The sequence below is a fragment of the Homo sapiens genome, chromosome X (genome assembly GCF_000001405.40).
Source record: "Homo sapiens chromosome X, GRCh38.p14 Primary Assembly".
NCBI classification, from domain to species: domain Eukaryota; kingdom Metazoa; phylum Chordata; class Mammalia; order Primates; family Hominidae; genus Homo; species Homo sapiens.
Genome location: NC_000023.11, coordinates 155,257,974 through 155,276,210, shown reverse-complemented (window position 1 = coordinate 155,276,210; position 18,237 = coordinate 155,257,974). Strand labels below are relative to the sequence as shown.

Genomic DNA, 18,237 nt, shown 5'->3' with positions numbered 1-18,237 from the left:
TTAACTCTTGGTTTAAAAGAAAAATATAAACCAAAACTACATGATCTCTAAAACAAATAATGATGATGTAAACACTTCATATCAGAATCCATGGGATAAATATAAAGCAGTGATCAGAGGAAATTTTATAACTAAACACTGCTATTAGTAAAAATAAAAGATTGAAAATAAATTGATTAAATATTGAACTAACAAAAATTTTTAAAATGTGCACAACAATGTGAATATACTTGACACTTCTCAACTCTCTGCTTCAAAATAGTTAAGGTGATGAGTTTTAAGCTATGTGTTTTTAACACAACTTAAAAAAAAATGTCCAAATGGATCTTGGTAGAGCACCAGCAAAAAACAGAAAGAAACTTAGAATAAGTACAACAAATTAAGTAAAAGAACACAAGAGATTAACAAAAAAAGTAAGAATTAACAAAAGAATAGAAATAGCATAGACCTAGTTAACGAATCAAAACCTTTATTTTTTAAAAGATTGATAATACAGACAAACCATTAGCTACATTAATTGAAATAAAACAGAGAAAGCAAAAGTATGCAAAATAAAGAATGGGGAAATAACTATTAGAAGAAATTTAAGACATTATAAGAGACTACTTTGCAGACCTCTGTGCAAACAAATTTCAAAATCTAGATGATAGAGATAATTTCCTAGCAAAGTAAAGATTACGAAAAACAACTTTATTAGAGATATGAAAATTGAAGAGCTCAATCTTCATAGAAGAAAGAGAGAACATTTTTTAAAAAGAAGAAATAGAGAAAATTATAAGGAACTACTTACCAAAAAGTATCAATCCCCAGATAGTTTCACAGGGAAATGCTACCAAACTTTAAAAGACCATATAGTCTCAAAGTAACTTTGCGAAACAGTGTTTCTTCTGGAAAATATAAAACAAAATATAAAGAAACTATACATAAATATTGTACTCTAATTGGCAAAGTTGTTTCTCAAGGGGATATGTGTAGACAATTCTGAAACAGCCATACATGTATACTAAGATTGAAAAAATAAGTAAATGAACTGTAGGTGGGAAGTACAAATAATCAAGAAGGCTAGGATGAACTATGTGGTACTGGATTCGATTCAGAGACATCGGTATGTACTCAAGTTTAACTTAATATTGATAGAGGTGAATAGATACAAAAATAATTACATGTGCGTATATACATGAGTCAGTATACATATGTATAGTTCCTAGCCCTGTGTCCTGAGAGGGCCTAGAAGCAATAGTACCCTAGTAGCAACAAGCACACCCAATGCTAAGACCTTGGATTCTAATATCATTCTCCAATAAAAGGAACTAGAGCTACTTGGAGAAATAACTGATTCTAGGACCAAGGCAGGGGAAATACAAGATGGGCCTGGAGAATCTCATAGCACCAGAAAGTAAGGAATTGAGGAAAAAAAAAAAAAAAAAGATGAAGGCATGGCAAAGGAATAGAGGAGTCATCCTGAAAGATTGCCAAATTTGGAAAAATTGCCTCAATAAAATATAGATACTCCTCACCTTCTGATGGGGCTATGACTTAATAAACCCATCATAAGTTAGAAATATTGTAAGTTGAAAAGGCATTTAGTACCCCAACAAACCCATCATAAAGTCAAAAAATCATAAGTCAAACCATAAGTCCAGATGCTCCTCAGCTTACCACGCAATTACATCCCAATAAACCCACCATAAACTTGAAAATTTGTAAGTCAAATGGTCATAAGTTGAGGTTTGTCTGTAATGCAGTATTAGATTATAACACAAAGTATAAAATAGAGGAGTCCATATGGACACAAATGACTTAATTAATAATTAATTAATTAATGGAGGAAAAGAGGCAAATCTCCCATTACAGAGGAATTTATTTATCCAATCCTCTGTTGATGGATACTTAGGTTGATTTCATGTCTTTGCTATTGTAGATAGTACTATGATGAATATACAAGTGCAGTATCTGTTTGCTAAAATGATTAATTTTCCTTTGGGTAGATACCCAGTAATGGGATTGCTGGGTCAAATGGTAGCTTGTTTAAGTTCTTTGATAAATCTTTAAGCTGCTTTCCACTGTGGCTTAACTCATTTTCATTCCCATCAGCAATGTATAAATCTTCCCTTTTTTCCACAGCCTTGCCAGCATCTGTTATTTGACTTTTTAGTAACAGCCATTCTGACTGGTGTGAGATGGTATCTCACTGTGGTTTTGATTTTTATTTCTCTAATGTGATGTTGAGCTTTATTTCATATGATTGTTGGCCATATGTATATATTTTTTTGAGATGGAGTCTTGCTGTGTTGCCCAGGCTGGAGTGCAATGGTACGATCTCAGCTCACTGCAACCTCCGCCTCCTGGGTTCAAGTGATTCTTCTGCCTCAGCCTCCCAAGTAGCTGGGACTATAGGTGCATGCCACCATGCCTGGCTAACTTTTGTATTTTTAGGAGAGGTGGGGGGTTCGCCATATTGGCCAGGCTGGTCTCGAACTCCTGACCTCGTGATCCACCTGCCTCGGCCTCCGAAAGTGCTGGGATTACAAGCATGAGCCACCTCGCCCAACCGTATGTCTTCTTTTGAGAAGTGTCTGTTCATATCGTTTGCCCACTTTTTAATGGGGTTATTTGGTTTTAGCTTGTTGAATCGTTTAAGTTCCTTATAGATTACAAGTATGAGACCATTATGAGATAGTTTGAAAATATTTTCTTCAATTTTGTAGGTTGTCTGTTTAATTGCTTATTAATTTATTTATATTTCAATAGCTTTAGGGGTACAAGTGGTTTTTGGTTACATGGGTGAATTGTATAGTAGTGAAGCCTGGGCTTTAAGTGTATCTGTCACCTGAATAGTGTGCATTGTACCGAACAGGTGGTATTTTTTATCCTTCACCTCCCTCCAGCCCTCCCCCACTTCTGAGACTCCAATGTCCGTTATACCATTCTGCAAACCTTTACATACCCATCACTTAGCCCCTACTTATAAGTGAGAACATGTGGTATTCGATTTTCCATTCCTGAGTTACTTCACTTAGGATAATGGCCTCCAGTTTCATCCAAGTTGCTGCAAAACATATTATTTCATTTTTTATGTCTGAGTAGTATTCCATGGTGAGATATATATATGTATATATATATATACTTAACCAAAGAAGTGAAAAATCTCTACTATGAAAACTGTAAAACATTGATGAAACATTGATGAAAGAAACAAAAAAATGAAAGGATATTGCATATTCATGGTTTGGAAGAATAAATGTTGTTAAGATATCCATACTACCCAAAGCAATCTACAGTTTCAATGCAATCCCTATCAAAATTCCAATAACATCTTCACAGAAATAGAAAAAATAATCCTAAAATGTATATTAAACCATAAAAGACCAAGAATAGCAAAAGCCATCCTGAGAAAAAGAACAAAACTGGAGGAATCACAGTACCTGACTTCAAATTATACTGCAGAGCTATAGTAACCAAAATAACAAGGTACTGTCATAAAAACAGACACATTGACCAATAGAACAGAAAAGAAAATCCAGAAATAAATCCATGCATTTACAGTCAACTCATTTTTGACAGAAGTGCCAAGAACATGCATTGGGAAAAGGACAGTCTCTTCAATAAATGGTGTTGGGAAAACTGGATATCTATTTGCAGAAAAATGAAACTACCCCATATACAAGAATCAAATCAAAATAGATTAAATAATTAAATCTAAGACCTGAAACTATGAAACTACTACAAGAAGACATTGGGGAAACATACCAGGGCATTGGTCTGGGCAAAGATTTCTTGAGTAAGACCTCAAAAGCACAGGCAAGCAAAGCAAAAATGGACAAATGGGATCACATCAAACTAACAAGCTTCTGCACAGCAAAGGAAACAATCAGCAAAGTGACAAGACAACCCATAGAATGGGAGAAAATATTTAAGAATACTCATTTGACAAGAGATCAATAACCAGAATATATAAGGAGCTCAAACAATTCAATAGGAAAAAAACAAATAGTCCAATTTAAAAACGGGTAAAAGATCTGAATAAACGTTTCTCAAAAGAAGACATATAAATGGCAAAAAGGTATATGAAAAAATGCTCAACATCACTAATCGTCAGAGAAATGCAAATCAAAACTGCAATGAGATACCATCTAACTCCAGTTAAAATGGCTTTTATGCAAAGGATGGGCAATAACAAATGCTGGTGAAGATGGTGAAAAAGGGGGAACCCTCATACACTGTTGATAAGAATATAAATTAACACAACCACTATGGAGAACAGTATGGTGGTTCCTAAAAAAAAAAAAAAAAAAATAGAACTACCATATGATCCAGCAGTGTCACTGCTGGGTATATATCCAAAAGAAAGGCAATCAATATATTGAGGAAATATCTGCAATCCCATGTTTATTGCAACACTATTCACAATAGCCAAGATACAGAAGCAACCTAAGTGTTCATCAACAGATGAATGAATTTTTAAAATGTCTGACAGGTACACAATGAAATAGTATTTGGTTATAAGAAAGAATGAAATCTTGTCATTTGCAACAACATGAATAGAACTGGAGGATATTATATTAAGTGAAATAAGCCAGGCACAGAAAGACAAAAATCACATGTTCTCACTCGTATGTGAGCACTAAAACAAAATTGAACTAATGGAGATAGAGAGTGTAATGATGTTTTCCAGAGGGTGGGAAGAGTAGTGGAAGGGGAATAAAGCGGGGATGGTTAGATAGAATGAATAACATCTAGTCTTCAGCAGCACAATAGGGTGACTACAGTTAACACTAATTTATTATGTTCTTCAAAATAACTAAAATAGTAGAATTCTAAGTTCCTATCCCAAAGAAATGATAAGGGCTTCAGGTGATGGATACCCCAATTACCCGGATTCAATCATTACACATTGGATACCTGTATCAAAACACCACATGTAACCCATAAATATATACAACTATTATGTACCATAAAAATTAAAAATAAAAAATGAAAAGTGGGAAAAAATGATTTATCACTTACAAGGGAACCCTAATAAGATTAACAAATGACTTGTCAGCAGAAACAATGGAGGTCAAAAGCAATGAGGTAACATATTCAGAGTGATCAAAGAAAAAAGTCACCCAAGAATTTTATATCCAGCAAAGCTATCATTCAAAAAAAGAAAGCAAATAACAACATTCCCAGATAAACAAACAAAAACTGAAGAATTTGTTGCTAGCATGTCCACCTTACAAGAAATACTGAAGTTATTCAGACTGAAAGCAAGTGATCTCAGATGATAATTCAAATCCACAGAAACAAATAAAGAACCAGAACACTAGTAATTATGTAATTATAAAAGACTGCATAAACGTATATTTTTCCTTTTTTTCTATTAATTGATTAACAAAGCAATTCCATAACATATGTATAAAATGTATTTTTCAGTCTATAACATAGAATGCAGTATATTTGCCAAAAGCAACACAAAAGAGGTGGCTGAGAGCAAAGCTATATTTGGATAAGGAAATATAGATGATAAAGCAATAATTATAACAATGCATTGATAGGTTTGTAACATTAATAGACATAATATGCATAACAATAGTACTATAAAAAGACAGACAAGACAATAGAACTATACAGGAGTCCGGGCATGGTGGCTCATGCCTGTAATCCCAGCACTTTGGGAGGCCCAGGCAAGTGGATCACTTGAGGTCAGGAATTCAAGACCAGCCTGGCCAACATGGTGAAGCCCCATCTCTACTAAAACTACAAAAATTGGCCAGGTGTGGTGGCTCAGGCCTGTAGTCCCAGCTACTTGGGAGGCTGAGGCAGGAGAATTGCTTGAACCTGGGAGATGGAGGTTGCAGTGAGCTAAGATCACGCCACTGCACTCTAGCCTGGGTGACAAAGCTAGACTCCATCTCAAAAAAAAAAAAAAAGAACTATATAAGAATAATGTTTCTATATGTCACTAGAATAAAGCTAGTATAAATCTGAAGGTGATTCTGATAAGTCAAGATATATATGGTAAGCTCTAAAGAACCACTAAAAAATACTTCAAAATATAGTGAAAAAATTTTAATCAAGAATTAAGAAACTCAAATGGTACATCAAAAAATATTCACTTAGTGCAAAAGAAAGCAATAAGAGAAGACTAGAGGAACAAAAATATTAAGACATACAGAAAAACAAATAAATGGCTGACATAAATCCCACTATATCAATAAATAACATTAAATGTGAACAGATTAAACAATCTGTTTAAAGAAAAGCAAAGATTATATGGCTAGATGTTTCGAATGGTACAACTATATGCTGTCTACAGCAGACACTTCATATTCAAAGATACAAAGTGATTGAAAGTAAAATGATGAAAAATACATATCATGAAAACACCAATCACAAGAAAGCTGAAGTGACTATACTAATATCAGAAAAAATAGACCTCAAAACAAAAACAGCTACTAAAGACAGACAATTCATAGTGATAAAAGGGTCAATCTATCAGAAAGATACAATTACAAACATATATGCATCTAACAATACAGCTCCAAAATATGTGAAGCAATAACTGACAGTTAAAGTGAAAAATCATTCTACAAGAATAGTTGGAGGCTTCATTCTCCACTTCCAATAATATGTAGAACAACTGTACTGAAGATCAACAAGGAAACAGTAGACTTATGTCTAAGTCTTTATAAGCCAACTAGACATAACAGTTTATACATATATATATTATATATAATATATAATATTTTATATATAATATGTTATATATTATATATAATATGTTATATATATTTATTATATATATATATATATAAAACAGCAGAGGATATATTCTTTTCAAGTGTACATGGAGCGTTATCCAGAATAGACTATATACTATGCCAAAAAAACAAACCTCAAGAAATTTAAAAGGATAGAAATAATACAAAGTATGTTTTCTGACCACATGGAATGAAATTAGAAATCAATAGTAGGAAAAAGATATAAGAAACTCACAAATATGTGAGAATTAAACAAAATACTAATAAATAACAAATGGGTCAAAGAAGAGATCAAAAGGAAAATCAGAAAATACTTTCAGATAAATGAAAATGAAGACACAAGAAAGATACCAAAACTTATGGGGTTCAGATAAAGCAATGCTCAGAGGGAAATGTATAGCTATAAGTGCCTGTATTAAGAAAAAAAATCTCAAATCAATAACTTAACCTTCCAACTTAAGAAACTGGAAAAAGATGAGCTAACTAAAAGAAAATCAAGCAAAAGGAAGAAAATAATAAAGATTAGGGCAGAGATAAATGAAACAAAGGGAATAGATTAACAATAGAATCAATGAAACCAAAAGTTGGTTCTTTGAAAAGAACAACAAAATTGCCAAACTCTTTTTTGGTTCCATATGGAATTTAAAGTAGTTTTTTCCAATTCTGTGAAGAAAGTCAATGGTAGCTTGACTGGTCATTAGAGAAATGCAAATCAAAACCACAATGAGATAACATCTCACGCCAGTTAGAATGGCAATCATTAAAAAGTCAGGAAACAGTGGCACGTGCCTGTAATCCCAGCTACTCGGGAGGCTGAGGGAGGATAACTGCTTGAGCCCAGGAGATGGAGGTTGCAGTGAGCTGAGATCATGCCACTGCACTGGAGCCTGGCCCACAGAGCGAGACTCTGTCTCAAAAAAAAAAAAAAAGGAAACAACAGATGCTAGAGAGGATGTGGAGAAATAGGAACACTTTTACACTGTTGGTGGGAGTGTAAATTAGTTCAAGCATTGTGGAAGACAGTGTGGTGATTCCTCAAGGATCTTGAACCAGAAATACCATTTGACCCAGCAATCCTATTACTGGGTGTATACCCAAAGGATCATAAATCATTATACTATAAAGACACATGCACACATATGTTTATTGCAGCACTGTTCACAATAGCAAAGACTTGGAACCAACCCAAATGCCCATCAGTGACAGACTGTGTAAAGAAAATGTGGTACATATACACCATGGAATACTATGCAGCCATAAAGAAGGATGAGTGCATGTCCTTTGCAGAGACATGAATGAAGCTGGAAACCATCATTCTCAGCAAACTAACAGAAGAACAGAAAACCAAACACCACATGTTCTGACTCATAAGTGGGAGTTGAACAATGAGAACACATGGACACAGGGAGGGGAACATCACACACCGGGGCCTGTTGGGGGGTGGAGGGGTAGGGGAGGGATAGCATTAGAAAAAATACCTAATGTAGGTGACAGGTTGATGGGTGCAGCACATCACCATGGCGCGTGTATACCTATGCAACAAACCTGCATGTTCGGCACATGTATCCCAGAACTTACTATTTAAAATAAATAAATAAATAAATAAAAACTATTAGGACTAATAAGCAAGTTCAGCAAGGTTGGAGGATATAAAATCAATATGCAAAAATTAATTCCATTTTATAAACTTGCAAGGAGCAATCTAAAAATGAAATTAAGAAAACAATTCCATTCACAATAGCATCATAAATAACAAAATACTTGAAGTACAAAACTTATACACTGAACACTATGAAACATTGTTAAAACAAGTTTTAAAAACCTAAATAAATGGAATGATATCCATCTTGTGCTCATGGATTGAAAGACTTAATTTTAATAAGACAGCAACACTCTCCAAATTGATCTACAGAGTCAAATCAATACCTATTAGCATTCCAACTGCCTTATTTGCAGAAACTGATAAGCTGTTCTTAAAATTCATATGAAATTGCAAAGGGCTCCAAATAACCAAAACAATCTTTGAAAAGATTGGATCCTCCACAGTAGGAGGACTCACACTTTCTGATTTCAGAACTTTCTACAAAGCTACAACAGTCAAGAGAGTGTCATACCAGCATAAGGGCAGACATATAGACCAATGTGTATTGACCATTTCATTTCCTCTTCTGGGAATTGTCTCTTTATATACTTTGTATTTTTTATGTGTAATCTTTTATCATTGCCTTACTGTTTTAAAACAAATCAGCTTTATTAACATAGAAATAGAAAGTCCAAAAATACATCCATACATCCATGGTCAATTGATTTTCCAGAGTGTCAAAATCATTCCATAGAGAAAGAATAGTATCCTCAATAGAGTGCTGGGATAGCTGGATATCCACATGCAAAGGAATGAATTTGAACCCCTTCCTCACACCATGCATAAAAACGAACACAAAATGGATCATAGACCTAAATGAATGAACTACAACTATAAAACTCTTAGAAGAAAGAATGAGTAAACCTTCATGACCTTGGATTGGGCAAAGTATTCTTAGACATGACACCAGAAGCATGAGCAACAAAATAGAAACTCGATAAATTGTACTTCTTAAAAATCTAACTTTGTTTTTCAAAGGACACCCTCAAGAAAGTGAAAAAAAAGAACACACTGAATTGGAGAAAATATTTGCAAATCATATATGTGATAAAGGACTTGTGTCTAGCATATATAAAGAACTCTTATAACTCAATAATACAAAGACTAGTAATCCAGTTTAAAAATGGGCAAAAGATCTAAGTCAATATTTTTCCAAGGAAGATACACAAATGGCCAATAAGAATGTAAAAATATGCTTGAAGTCATCAGTCGTTAGGGAAATGCAAATCAAACTAGAATAAAGTACCACTTCACATCCATGTTAGAGAGAATGTGGAGAAATTGGAACCCCATAGGCTGCCAGTGGGATGTAATATGGTACAGCCACTGTGAAAAAGTCAGGCATTTCATCAAAGGGTTAAACATAGAGTTGCCACAGGACTGAGGAATTCCGTTCTTAGGTATAAATCCCAAAAAACTGAAAACAGATATTAAAAAAAAAAACCTGGCACATGAATATTCGATGGTAGGATTATTTAGAATAGCCAAAAGGTGGGAACAACCCAAATGTCCCTCAATGAATGAATGGATAAACAAGATATGGTCTATCCATATGATGGAATAGTATTCAGCCACAAAAAGGAATGAAGTACTGATACTTGCTACAGTGTGAATGAACCTTGAAAACATTATGCTAAGTGAAAGCAGCCAGTCACAAAAATGCACATATTATATGATTTCATGTATATGAAATGTTCAGAATAGGGAAATTTATAGAGACAGAAAGTACATTAATGGTTGCCAAAGGCTGGAGGAACATGGGATAGAGAGATGATAGCTAAAAGGTTCTGGGTTCCTTTTTTTAAAAAATATATATACATATTTTATTATACTTTTAGTTCTAGGGTACCTGTGCAGAACGTGCAGGTTTGTTACATATGTATACGTGTGCCATGTTGGTGTGCTGCACCCATTAACTCGTCATTTACATTTACATTAGGTAAATGTAATCCCTCCTAATGCTATCCCTCCCCCCTCCCCCCACCCCTCTGGGTTACTTTTTGAAGTGATAAAAATGTTATAAAATTAACTGTGGTGATAGTTGTATATATCTGTGAGTATATTAAAAACCTATGCTAAGAATTGTTCACTTTAAATGGGTGAATTGTACAGTATGTGAATTTTCATGTTAATGAAGCTGATTTTTTTTAAAGAGTAAGGCAACGATAAAAGATTACACATAGAAGGCCGGGCGCGGTGGCTCACGCCTGTAATCCCAGCACTTTGGGAGGCCGAGGCGGGCAGATCACAAGGTCAGGAGATCGAGACCATCCTGGCTAATACAGTGTAACCTTATCTCTACTAAAAATACAAAAAATTAGCCGGGCGTGGTGGCGGGCACCTGTAGTCCCACCTACTCGGGAGGCTGAGGCAGGAGAATGGCATGAACCCGGGAGGTAGAGGTTGCAGTGGGCCGAGATCGCGCCACTGCACTCCAGCCTGGGCGACAGAGAGAGACTCTGTCTCAAAAAAAAAATAAAATAAAATTACACATAAAAAATACAAAGGATATGAAGAGACAATTCCCAGAAGAGGAAATGAAATGGTCAATACACAAGACTTGGTATTGACCTCATCAGTAGTCAGAGAAATGTAAAAATAAAGCAATGAGACATATTTTTATTTAACTAAATTCTATTGAGAAGAATTAAGAAAGAATAAAACATACATATGATGCTTGAAATAATGCAGAGCGATGGTCTTTTCACACATTGCTGGGTAGAATTTAAACTGTTAAATAGTTTTGGAAAGTAGAATGCCCATGTCCGTTAAATTTAAAATACTTATACTCTTTGAATTCATGGCCCCTTTTTTAAGACTGTAGCTCACAGAAATAAAATACTTGTGGCTACACTTTAAAATAAGTTATGACAAAAGGGAAATTAGGTGGAAATGGAAAGATATTTATGTTGCTTTATTAATTGCAAAAAGCAATTATTAATTGAAAGTAAGGCCCCAGTTTAATTTTTGTAAAAACAAACAGCAATAAATGCATATAGGAATACAAACACATATAATATTTGTGTGTTTATGTGAGCATGGAAACACTTGTAGACTAATATATAATTATGTGCCTTCCCTTTTTTGTGCAGTTTTGTATTGCTTTGCTAGTTTCAATGAAAAGGTATGACATTGGCAGTTTGAACGACAGAGAACAGTTTTAATGAACAGAGGGTGGGTGGGGTAGTTAGAAAGGGAGGGATCGCGCTAATGTTGCAGCCATTTTGTGTGCGCTCCTCTTACAGATAGTGCGGCGGCCCAGGCGTCGCGTCTACGCGGGGGATTACAGTAACCCGGTTGTCAGTGATGAGTCAGAGTGCGTGGTGCTGATGCTGCTGCCATTTCATCACCTTTGCGAGCGCAGCATCCATCCCTCCGCTCTCCCGGCGCCTGGGCCTACCCAGCTTCGGGCTCCCAGGCCAGCGATGCGCTCGCGGCTGAGCTAGATCCTGCCGAGCCGCGCTCTCTGAGGCGTCGGCGGGGCGCCCCCTCCCGCCGTCCCCGGTCCGGGCCAAGGAGACCTGCAGAGCCGCGGCCATGGAGGCCATCTGGCTGTACCAGTTCCGGCTCATTGTCATCGGGGATTCCACAGTGGGCAAGTCCTGCCTGATCCGCCGCTTCACCGAGGGTCGCTTTGCCCAGGTTTCTGACCCCACCGTGGGGGTGGATTTTTTCTCCCGCTTGGTGGAGATCGAGCCAGGAAAACGCATCAAGCTCCAGATCTGGGATACCGCGGGTCAAGAGAGGTTCAGGTGGGAGCGCAGTCCGGGCCCGCAAGCAGTGGGAGGGTCTTCGGGGTTTGCACCGCCTCTGGGGAGAGAGGACTTCCTGGTTCTAGGTGCGGTCCAGGAGGGCAACACCAAGGGTCTTGAGGATTCTGCCGAAGCCCACCTTCGGCTAACCCGGAGTTTAGTGCAAGGAAAGAAGCGCCCTGGCAGGGAAGGCCGGTCAATAACACATATTGCTTGCACCACAACTCCACCAACCTGCCCTTTGGTGGCTAACAAACTAGCTGGAATTGATCTCTGTATCTGTAATTCATCAATCTCAGTCCCTATGTTACATACTTTCAAAAACGTTCCCAGGTCATCCTAACATAACTGACAGAGATTTAAATACATAAATACATGTGTATTATGTTTTATTTCCACATCTGTGTGTGTGCACATATATATGCTAACATATGTTCTAACATGAAATAGATACGATTGATTCCTTCTTGCAACCAGCACACATTCAGTGATCATCTACTATGTGCCAGACTCTGGGCTTGTTCCTGGGAAAACAGTGTGAGGAGACTCACACAAGGGGATGCCATGTAATCTAAACAGACAAAGCCCCTTCATTCTTGGAACTTCTGTGCTAACATAGTTGAGGGAAATAGATAATCAGCAATTACGAAAGTGTGTCTTGCTCATATTTGTATGCCCACTCCCTACTGTAACACTTGGCACAAAATGAACATGCTTAATTTCAATCAATGAATTCATTGAATAATCAATGAATATGTTTACTTTCACTCAGAACCCTTTGCTTTTCTATTGTAGCATGTATTATTTGTAATTATATGTATGAACACAGAGGAGGAAAGGTTAACTGGAGAAGATGAGACCGGATGAGTATGACTGCCTAAGCAAAGACAGGAAACGCCCAGGGATAGGAAACAGCATGAATAAAGACAGAAGTGAGAGGGAGCAGAGTGTACACAGAAAACTTTGCAGAGAACAATTTGAACTAAAGTAGAGCAGCAGGAACCAGATCAAGAAAACTCAATAGCCCAAGTTTATGATCATTTACTCATTTATCTATTGAAAACTAACTAAGCATAGAAGATACTGGTTGGGTAATTGAAGAGGGGTAAGGAGAAGAAATAATTACAAACTTAAGTTACCTCCAGCTCCCCACTTCCACAAACACCACTGTGGAAAATATCCTTGTACAGGTTCACTTTGAACTTGCGATTGCATTTCTCCTAAGCAAAGAAAGGTATCTTTTATGTGTTTGTTGGAATTTCTTTCTATATGAACAGCCTGTTCATATCCACTGCTTATTTATTTATTGGGCAATATGGACTTGTAAGAGTACTTTATAGATTAAGAATATTAACCCTTTCCTGTCATGTATGTTGTAAGATATATTCCTAGTTTATCATCTGTCTTTTCACATTATTTAAGATTTTTTAATGTAGGGAAGAATTTAAGGTTTATGTAGCCTTATGTCCATGCTTAGAAGGCCTTTGTCACTTTCTTTGCTAAGTACTCACAAACAATTAATGTAATAATATATTCCAGAGTTTTGACAGTGATCTACAGCTTGCTTGTTGATTTCTTGAATCAACCTTCTCACAAATCAAAACCTTTGTTTGTTCATGTCTAAATTTTCTGGTAAATCTACCATTCTCCATGAATCTTCAAACCTAAGAGACGAGAAATGCTTTCAGTCCCCAGGGCTGATTTGCCTGATTTTGGAGACTTAAAGTCATTTGTAAGTTTTACTTTTACCATCATCTAGCTTGGACTGTAGGTCCCTGGACAATGCTTGTTCTGCTAACATTGAGCCATTTTCTCTAAGCTATTGAGTCCTTCGTTGTCTATCTTCTTTATCTGAGGAGACAGAAAACCTAAAAATAGACATAGGTAAAAAAAATCACAGTAGTCTAAAGCAAGTGACTGCAGAGACAAATAGGTCCATACCCTGTAATAAGCTTTAATACACTGTAAGCAAAGTGCCATAATGTATATTTATAATGAGGTTCCTCAAGTCAAGAAGTTAAAACATGTGAAGTTTCTTCTGATGGCTCCTGAGTTGAGTTGGCCTCTCTGAAATGTGTCAGGAAACAGGGCTGAGAGGCACTTTGCCTGAACCCTTCGCCATCTCTCTTTTTCCCATTCCCACAGGCCTTGAAAATAAAAAATAAAATTGTGTTTCTCCTCACAGAAGAGATTGAGGATCCCTGTTAGCTAATAATAATAATAATAATAATAATAAACAATAATAATAATGGAAAGAGAAAAAAACATGGTAATGATAAATGGAAAAAATGGAGTAGCAAGATACCTACTTTAAATATTTTGTTAACTATCATAAATTCATTTCTATGTTTTAAAAATCCTGTTTCAACTGCTAGCATTTGTAATGAACTCTCCACGTCACAGAACACTTTAATATCCATTGTTTCATTTTGCCTCATGGTAACACTGTGACTTGGGTATCCTATTTTGCAGAAAAGGAAGTCTCTGTCAGTTATTCAGATTTGGGGGGTGGGAGAGTTAGTTGTAGTTTTACCTGAAGGCAAGAAATAGAACTCAGTTATGTCCCAGGGTCACTCTCCAGTGCTGAATCCATGGAAAATGCCTAAAAGTTCATGAACATTCGTTTCTAGAAGATGCCCATCTCAAAGTTTGGCCCAATTGGAAACTCACATATTAGTAGTAGTATGGAATGCCATTTGTATTCCTTTGTTTTTTTAAAAAAAAAGAAAATCATTTTTATTAAAGGACTGTGTCACTAACCAGGAACACTTGAATATACTGAGTTCATTGACATGCAGAAGTTTGGGCACAGCCTTTACTCTTTACTTCTTTCTTGTGTTTTAGATCCATCACTCGCGCCTACTACAGGAACTCAGTAGGTGGTCTTCTCTTATTTGACATTACCAACCGCAGGTCCTTCCAGAATGTCCATGAGTGGTTAGAAGAGACCAAAGTACACGTTCAGCCCTACCAAATTGTATTTGTTCTGGTGGGTCACAAGTGTGACCTGGATACACAGAGGCAAGTGACTCGCCACGAGGCCGAGAAACTGGCTGCTGCATACGGCATGAAGTACATTGAAACGTCAGCCCGAGATGCCATTAATGTGGAGAAAGCCTTCACAGACCTGACAAGAGACATATATGAGCTGGTTAAAAGGGGGGAGATTACAATCCAGGAGGGCTGGGAAGGGGTGAAGAGTGGATTTGTACCAAATGTGGTTCACTCTTCAGAAGAGGTTGTCAAATCAGAGAGGAGATGTTTGTGCTAGTCAGTTCTTTTATTTCCAAAACATGCTCTCCTACTTGAACTGAAAAGTAAGAGAAATAAATAGAATCTTTGTGTAACTGATGAGAACTCAACCTCCATTTGGATACCAAGTGAGCCTCCCTCTCAGGGGGACTCTGACAGACTCGTGTGCGGGTGGATGGGGGTGCCTGAGTGCTGTGACCAAGGGACTGAATTGCTGACATGGGCCAGGCCAGGCACTGTTTTGTGGCCCATGCTAGGCAGTGGCTGCTCCATGAGCCCTTTGTGGACCACATGTTAAAGGCCTGGGGTTTAGGAAGCTAAGTCCCAGGAAAACATACCTACAGACAGGACAACTGTTCCTTGGTATTTGAGCTCACTTATAGGCCATGAACATAAAGAAATACATAAAGGGGAAAAAAGTTTCACAATGGGGACAATTAGCATAACTAAACAAAGATTATGAGCTCTACTTATTCCGTGAGAATACCCTGCACCAAAGGTGTTTGCTGGGTTTGGTTAAAAGGTACCAATTAGCTTTTAACAGCTTTCTGTAAAATGAGGAACACAGACCAAAAGGTCTGGTGTTCAAGTAAAAATGATGTGACTATGGAAAGGAAGGCAATCGACACAGTTATTAGCACATTTCAGAAAATGAACACCCTTGTGATAGAATTACCAGCTGTATGAAACAAATTGTCCCATGCAAATTACCCTATAACTAGGAAAGAGACACTATAACCCAAATGCCATACCCCCTTTTTCCTTTGACCATGCCTGGGGTTTCAATGCCTTGGCACCTGCAATCTGGAAGTAAACAGTCTGCTTGCTTCTTCAGGCACGTGACAGTGACAACACAGTGACTGCCTCTGAAAAGAGCCCTGAGGCAAACACTCTCTCCTGCTGAACAGGAGGCACTGTAACCCTTACAAACAGCTTACAGTTACTTGGGCTACTTATTTGATCATCATAACAGGCCTACGAGGTTTTTGCCCCATTTTACAGAATAGTAAACTAAGAGCCATGAAAATCACTTGGCCAGGGTCAAGGACTCGTGACTCCTAGCTCTTTTCACTGCATCATACTGCTGTCAGATGAATAAATGATTATGAATTTGTTTACTTGGGAAGAGATATGACTATAAATAAATGTTCTCTACATGTTAGGATATGTTTTCCTTATTGATTACAACTCAGCTATAATCCTGAGGGAACATGGGAAGGAATCAAAGGTAAAGCCCATTCAGGCATTATTGACAAGAGGGCTTTAAACAAGTGAATAATTGCACAACTAAAAAGACATTAGAACTGTGTGGGCTATAAGTGTTCTTATCACTGAGACACAGTGGATTTTTATTGAAAGGAACCACGTACAGCAATGCGGAGTGGGATAGGGATAAAATACCCACCCCAAAATGACCTTGGCCACCTGTCTGCCATATACGTACACTGAGTTCCTGTCTACCCAAGAGAGTCAGCCCTTAATTCTCAGGTGAACAAACAGCTAACTGCATCAGCAAATTGGAATGGCTGGCTTGAAGTTTCCATTATTTTCTTGAAGAGAGGTGATGCTTTAAATTACTTTTTGGATTGTAGCCAGTTCAGCTAGGCAAAAGCCATACTTTTCACAATTAAAAAAAAAAACTATTCTGACTAGAGTCAGGTTTCTCATATCCATTGTGATAGGAAGGCCTAAGAATGGCAAATCGCTTTGAGATATAATATTGAACTTCAGTATGAATGTGACCGAATCTGAAACTTTGGGAATTTGCTTTAGCCAGAATAAAGAAACCAAATCATGAAAATTATGGAAGACTATTCTGCCACCTGTGCCCCAAGTTGGATGAGCAAACCACTTTGGATCAGTTCACAGCATTAACTACAAGTGAACTGATCATCTTCTCTATATTCATTTCACAAGAGCTGGCTTAGGTGGGGTAATTAAATTGCCACCTTCGTGGTTGTAAAAGACAAACAAAACATGGCAAATTTCATTAACACAAAATTTCATCAACTGCTATACTGAATTATGTTTAGAAGATTCTGAAAGCAAGATTATCCAGTGGGTAAATGAGAGTCGACTGGATTCTGTCAGTTCAAAAAAGGAAAGAAACAAAACTTCCCTACAATTTTCTTCACTAAAATTTATTATATGTACAGTATTCCCACTCCTGGCATTTTCTGGCAGGTTTAAAAATATTCAGCATAAATCCAGCAGAGGTGGCTGAGCTTAATTGCTTAAATAAGTTCTAGAAAATTTAAAAATCATTTTAGTAGAATTCAGTACCATTGTCACTGCAATAAGTGGGTTTTAGAAAATAAGTGTGAAAAGAATCAGGTGTTAATATAATACTAAGGATAAAGCTTTAGAAGCTATTTTACTACATAGGTAAAGAAAAGATAAACTAACTTGTAACAAAGACCACAACTGCATGTTGGATTAGATTGTCTCATATTTCAGAATAAAATGTACTGTATACTTTTCCTCACTTTGTTGTGCACTGTAATGAAATGTGAAAAATGCTTTATTTAGCTGTATGTGAATGAAAATATGCTTGTATTTAGTAAAATGATTGATTATGTGACTGTGAGATTCCAAGTGTGTGTTATAGCTATTTCCAGAATCTGTTACTACAGCGTAGCAACTACTACCAAGGATATCAATAAGATGTGACATATACCATACACAATCGTATTCACCATTACCTTAAAGCCAGAAAGAGAATATAATTTTTGAAAGTTATCTGACCATCATATCAAAAGTCCCTGGGACCTCAATACTTCCTGGTGAGCATATGCCACTTTGAGAAAAGTTGGTTCTGTCAAGCCTAAATCTTCATCATGATGATTTT

The 18,237-nt window shown here is 36.8% G+C and overlaps 1 protein-coding gene across 1 annotated transcript, besides 2 other annotated features; it reads left to right on the top strand.

Annotated features, from left to right (window-relative positions):
- Nucleotides 11,673-11,722: a silencer, noted in NCBI's record as "silent region_21125". NCBI's record gives its function as "represses an Ori minimal core promoter by ATAC-STARR-seq in GM12878 lymphoblastoid cells {active_cell/tissue: GM12878}" and the evidence as "EXISTENCE:reporter gene assay evidence [ECO:0000049][PMID:35858748]".
- RAB39B (RAB39B, member RAS oncogene family) lies at nt 11,720-17,976 on the top strand. The gene is made up of 2 exons (NM_171998.4): nt 11,720-12,137; nt 14,982-17,976. The coding sequence occupies exons 1-2, from the start codon at nt 11,923-11,925 to the stop codon at nt 15,406-15,408; spliced, it is 642 nt and encodes a 213-aa protein (NP_741995.1). The 5' UTR covers nt 11,720-11,922; the 3' UTR covers nt 15,409-17,976.
- Nucleotides 11,733-11,942: a silencer, noted in NCBI's record as "silent region_21124". NCBI's record gives its function as "represses an Ori minimal core promoter by ATAC-STARR-seq in GM12878 lymphoblastoid cells {active_cell/tissue: GM12878}" and the evidence as "EXISTENCE:reporter gene assay evidence [ECO:0000049][PMID:35858748]".

Bases quoted from the DNA above. Each gene is read 5' to 3' on its own strand.
- RAB39B (NM_171998.4), top strand. From the start codon at position 11,923: ATGGAGGCCATCTGGCTGTACCAGTTCCGGCTCATTGTCATCGGGGAT. The intron at 12,138-14,981 runs GTGGGAGCGCAG...CTTGTGTTTTAG, and splicing joins GCGGGTCAAGAGAGGTTCAG to ATCCATCACTCGCGCCTACT.